Raw genomic sequence first — 6,179 nt, forward strand, 5'->3', positions numbered from 1 at the left:
AATAATTGATGGCTAGATAATACCTAGTTGAAATATCACTGGAGTGAAACAGAATTGAAGCATTTATGTACATTGGCATTGCAGCTCCATGACGGTCAGTGCCAAGTCTCTAGTCCTCTGGAATGAACTCAATTTTAATGGAGCATGAAGATTTACCTACATATTAGAGGCATTCTACAACCTTGGATGAAAAAAAGAAAAACACATTCTCTGCTTCAATTCCATAATAAATTTGGATTTTTCAGTCGATGCCATCTGTGTGCCATGAAAGTGCTCACCTATGTGTCAACTGTACTTGGAGAAGAGGGGCTTACTGTTAGCAACACAGATGCTCTGGTTGACCCTGTCTGGGCTAAAAGGTGGGAGTTTTTCAAGGGCCTTGAGCACCAGGTAAATGACACATACCCCATTTCCATCCTAAAATGCTGCTGCTGTGTGTCAGAGCCAGCAAGGCCAACTGATTACCCAACTCACGTTGATATTGATCAAACTTACAGAAAATTTAATTACTCTATAATCTTCAGAAATGATGTTTTAACTCTTTAGGCTGCTGCTATTGACACATCAACATAATAGGCAGATGAGAGAATGGATGGATTTTATTTTAGAACTGACAGGTTAAAAACAAGCGATTATCTGACAAAGCTGCTCTAGGATGCTTAGGGAGACAATGTAGACTTTCTTCTGTTTATTGAAAAATCAGACTTTGCTTAACCAACAGGATGGTTTCCATCCCTGCTTACTGGCCGATAATGGCAAAAAAAAAAAAAAAAAGCCACGTTGAAAAGAAAGCGCCACACCAAGCAGATTCAAAAACGATTTAATGGGCACTATTTTTCTCTATGCAGAAAATGTGCTTCAATTCAAATTTTTCATCTTAGAGAGCTATTTTTAGTTGCATGAGACACAAAGACTATATAATCATCATAAAGATGTCAGCTGGTCCCAGCCTTTCCCAGGCACCTGCTGGAATGATTCATTTGACTAATGGCACAGTATCTGCATATGGAGACCGTCATGCATCTGCCCTATGTTATAATGAAACATGAGTTATCAGTGCAGCAGGAAGTATTTCCTTCGGTACAAGGCATTGACCCTGAGAGTGCTAACAGCTAAAGTACAGAGAAGTAAGAACTTGTGTGAAATCAGCTCTTGCTTATCTAAGTACAGCTTCAGTGTTACAGTTAAAGTCCCAGTGGCTGCTGGTGGAATGCCCCCTGGATGCTTCATCCGGTTGTCCCAGGTTGGGAGTTCTCCAGCCCTAGAGGCTTCATGACTGAGTCAGAAAAGGCCAAAGATTCTGAAACCACTGACCAACTAAGCTGCAAGTGAAAAGTTGAGGTGGTTGTCAGGGAGTGGGTGATGCTTGTGGAATGTTCTAGTGCTGTCGTCTGGGATGATCCAACCCTTAGTGCTGAGTACATTGGGCGCCTGTGCTGGGAACTGCATTGCCCACTGGGACTTCAGTGGTCAGGAGTGTGTTGTGAGTTCTGCCTGACAGCGAGTCAGAGAGAAGGCAGCCTCCCTTCACAGTGTCTGTGCACCCAAGGGGGCAGATCCAGCTCCAAAGTCCTGGGTTCCTGGAACATGGTGTCTAGAACAGCCAAGGAGCATGACTTAGAGGGAAAAGCTCAGGGTTTAGGGACAAAAAGGGATAGTCAACCTCTGCCAGTAGCACAGATGAGGTCTTGATGGCATCTCCCGACCTGTGGCTCAGCTTCCCATGGGGCCTCTTGGCCACTGCAGGGTTACATGAGGTTCAGGACGGACTCAGGCAGAGCCCTGGAGACCCAAGCCTGGTGGGAACTCAGTGAAGAGTGGCCGAGTGACCCTTTGACATCAAACCCCATGGCTGGCGCTGGCAGGACAAAGTCTCTTCCAGGTGGCGGGGGTCACGAGCACAGGGAAGGTGGGTTGGAAAACCCCTGGGGAGGAGGCTGGAGTGGTTAATGTGCAGACACCCCTGGCCTCGGGTGCAGGGGAAATCCTACAGGCCCTTCCCCTTGTCCTGAGATCCCTGAAGGCTTTGCTTTGCAGCCAGGTGGACTTGCCTGCCATTGCAGTGATGCCCAGCAAGCATTTCACGTCTCTCCCTGGGCTGCTCCTGTCTGTGGATAGGCTTCTCACCCTGCTACTCAAGCTGAGGCCCCTGAGCTAGGGCAGCCCTTCTCACATGCCTGCCTTGTTCTGCACCCAAAGGCTGAATTGTTCAGGAAGGGAAGTAAGGGATGGGGAAGGGAGCCAGTACCACTTTGCTCCTGTCCCCCCAGGGTTCAGTGTGTTCCACATGATCACGTGGGGCTCAGCCTGCTGGTCTATACCTACAGTAGCAGCACCAACAGCAATCCCACAATGCGACTGTCGTCCACTCCGTCTCGCCTACCCCCCTCAACACCAGCATAACCAACCACACCAACAAACTGGACAAGTACGACTCGGTGGAGGCCATCAAGATAAGGAGTTGGCAGCATCAGCAGCAGCCAGGTGTGCACAGAAGGCAGGTGGACGCGGGGACTTTCAGCAAAGCTCCGTGGGGGTGGCGCTGGTGGCGGAGTTGGGGACAGGTAAGGGTTCCCCTTATGAAAAACTGCCTTTCTAGCTTTGGGGCGCCTGTGAAACCATGGCGTGTCACCTTGGGCACATAGATTATAAAGGAACAAAGGAAAAGCAAGAAATAAAGATCTGCCCGATGTTGGGTAATTGTCCAATGTCCAGCTCTGCCTCAGCCCAAACCGTGGCTTCCGTGTCCCAAGGGTCAGAGAAAAGGCGGCAGGATGGAGGGGAGGATGTCGCTTCAGCACCTGCCTCTAGATGGCAGCCTGAGACAACTATTGTATCGCTATCAATTACACCTTCAGATCTCTTTCCAGGGCAATAAAAGTGCCTCACATACTGTAAGGCAGCTTCCCATTTCTGGTGTGAGGTGGCGTGTTCTGTATTTTTTCCCCCATTGGACAATTAAATCCCTAGTTTTTAAAGCAGAAATTTTGTGTGGAGGGCCAGCCTCCTAGTCCGCAGGAAGAAGGGCTGCGAAGGACATCAGCTTTGGACTCAGCTGACCTCAATCGGGTCAGACGCTCACACCCTCTAGGCCTCCATTTCTTTATAAGCTGGGGATAACGACCTTCACTTAGAGCAGTGTTGTGAGGATTTCATGAGGTAATTTCTATAAAACGCCTTCAACAGTGCATGACACTTAAGTGCTCATGAAATTGGGGTCTTGTTTGAGGGATTTCATGTGGTGGTTATAGCTGGAGGCTTGAAACAGGACGCCCTACAGCCATTTCTTACCAAAGTGGCGCCAGGTGAGGTACTTGGCCTCCTGTGTCTCAGTGTCTTCATCTTTCACACGGATGAAAGGCTGTGTATTTCCATCTTGCTGTAGGGTTTAAATGGGTGAACGTGCTCAGCAAAGGGTAGCTGGTAGTCTTACTTGTGCCTCCACACAAGGCTGCAAGGGAACCTGAAGAGACATGAAAGGCTGCGTTCAACCTCCCCTCTCACAGCTGTGGATGAAGGGAATTCTTCTGAACTAGGTAAACCAAACATGATTTTTTCATTCATTTGTTGATTGCCCTTAAAATCCTTAGGGAGTGTTGTGATTTCCCCTCTGTTGTACCCACGTCATCTCCCTTTGTAATTAAAGTTTCTTCCTACTAGTTTGCCTGTACTCCCGGGGCCTCTGGTTGAACTGGGGTCAAGAATCCATCAGCTCCTCACATGAGTCAGGTGAAAGTCCTGAAGTGAAGCATCGTGAATTACTCACACAGCCCTCACGGCCCCTCAGAACTGGGCTCCCATAGGTGAGGAGGAGAAAGAGCAACTCGTTTTACAAGGAGCTCCCACATTCTCCTGTATAAAGAGGTCTTGAGAACTTTCCAAGTGAACTTCCAGGACAAAAGAAATGGGTTTGGCTACATGTGATTCCAACATCAGTGCTGGGTGGTCACTCCAGGAATCTGGATGGTCATTTAGCTGGTGCTAAGTTCTCTCTTGGGATGTGGAGCCTTTTGAATTAATCAGAAGTCTTGCTGCCACGTGAGCAGACTCTAGTGGCACTGACCTGTCCCCTGATCATTCGTAAATCTCTCAGACCCCTCCATCACATGGCTGGCCTATGCCAACCGTCTTCATCATTCTCCAGTCATCCCAATACTTACCCTCCACCTGTGAGAGTGTAACGATTTGAAATTTCAGCTTACTTTAACATCATGAATGAGGAAGATTATATCCAGAAATAGGTACAATAGTCACTTTTCAAACAAACTGCACATGGAACAAATGAATAGTAATTCAGACATTTGGAATATGAGGAATTTAGCTGAAGAAGGTCTTTCAGGAACTCTTATGAATGTACCTTTCTGTGATAATCAGAAATCTACTTATATGTCTACAGAACTCCACGGGGTAATACTTGGTAACATTCTAAGTGTCTCTTCATTGGAAATGAAGCATTTGCTGAGTTTCTTGAGTTTGCTGTTACAATAAATAATGCTTAGCTTCTCTTGAAAATATTGTGGCAAAAGCAGAAAAATAGACTGGAAGACATAGAAAAATATTTGCCAATTCAGTTACTAGATGATAAGTTCTTATTGAAGTGAATAATCTGTGGTAAAACACCATGAAAAAGCACATTTTAGCATCACAGGACTTTTGGAGAGAAGTTGAGTCGTAATGTAATAGTCTCTCAAAGTCTACTTATTGAGTATTTTTTTAAACATTTTTTTCCTGGAGTTTAATAATAAAACGATTCTAGGGGAAAGAAGCAAATACTTCAAGCCACATCACAGAAACACCTCTTCTAATGTCTGCTTTCTGGGTCTCGATCATTCTGATGAATTCCAGTGAATTCCAAGAGCTTTTATATTTTTCATCTCTCATAATTTCCCATTGCCCTAAGTATATGCTCAGTGCCTCCCCACGTTTCCGAGGCTTCAGAGGTGAAGAGTGATATATTGCAAGCACACTTCAAGCCATGAGTGCCCATCCTTGCCAAAAATCACATCCTTTAAATGCAACAAGAATTACATATGGCCGAGTGACAATTCAGTCTATAATACAGGAGCACAGCTGGGGGAGCCATGGGAAGCACTGCAGGTCACAGCGTGAAGTTGATGATTGTGTTTCGCCAGTTTCCTCTAAGAAGTGGATTGTTTTCTTGAGCTTTTTTTTTTTTCTTAAGTAATAGTCTTATACTTTTGGAATAGTCTTATTTTTATTTGAAAAAGTCTTTAGGAACAAGACATCTTCTCACTTTTGATTGAGAATATTCAAGATGTTTAATTCGAGGTAACAGGCATTTAGTCTGAGAATCCATTCCCCTCATCCCCGCCCCAGGAGTGCCTGGGTTCGTGGCATTTGATAAAATGAAGAAAATAAATGTGACCACACAGATATTCACCATGGATCTCCCATGTTCCTCTGTCTGAATAACACTATGGAATTCTTGGAAGCAGCTTGTGTGTTTTAATCTTGGAAGCTCAGGAATTCCACCTGGTCTGCACCTGCAGAAGCTACAGTAGGCACCCCACCTTGCTGCTGATGCAGTTTCTGTGCCATTGCTGGTGGAGGCAGCGGAGCAGAGGCGCAGGCACAATGAAGCGGGGACGTGTTCTGCAGATTGCTGCTAAACTCGCCTTATTCTGACTTTTGGATTTCATGACATTCCAGGGAGCTACCTGCCATGCTGTTGGCCTGGAAGCCCACCTGACTGGTCCATAGTGACGTCCTGAAGAGCCAGTCTGTAAAATAACCAACAACTTGTTTAGCTTTTGGATAGACTCCACACCTCCTCTTTCTCTGCAAAGAAAAATCTTGAATATTTATGGATGACAATTAGGGAAAGTATTGAAAATAGTGAAATATAATTAAAAACAACATGTATTTTTCATGTTATGAAAAATATTGAAAGAACTGATATTAATGAAAATTAATATTTTATTTTCCATCTCCCCAGTGTAACTAATTTGTGGCAATCACCCCCTACCAAGAGCAGTAATGCTGTGTAAAGCTGGCTTTCTGGAGTCCGCTGGATCCATACGAAGTGTGATCCCTGGTTTCCTCTGTTACTTGCTGCATCCAAGCCAGGGGAGCAGGAGATGCTCAGCTCTGGTGCCTTTGATTTTATGTCAGTGCTGCCTTCCTGCCTGCTCAGTTCACCCACCCCCGTTTCCCTCCGT

At 45.6% G+C, this 6,179-nt stretch overlaps 1 pseudogene, besides 1 other annotated feature; it reads left to right on the forward strand.

The window, feature by feature from the left end:
• Positions 1,866-2,453, forward strand: LOC100422730 (semaphorin 5A pseudogene; annotated as a pseudogene).
• Positions 3,190-4,389: an enhancer, noted in NCBI's record as "BRD4-independent group 4 enhancer chr5:7928453-7929652 (GRCh37/hg19 assembly coordinates)". NCBI's record gives its function as "activates an origin of replication core promoter dependent on BRD2, P300/CBP, MED14 and CDK7 cofactors, and independent of BRD4, by STARR-seq in HCT116 cells {active_cell/tissue: HCT116}" and the evidence as "EXISTENCE:reporter gene assay evidence [ECO:0000049][PMID:35650434]".

Source organism: Homo sapiens, chromosome 5, assembly GCF_000001405.40.
Source record: "Homo sapiens chromosome 5, GRCh38.p14 Primary Assembly".
Taxonomy (NCBI): Eukaryota; Metazoa; Chordata; class Mammalia; order Primates; family Hominidae; genus Homo; species Homo sapiens.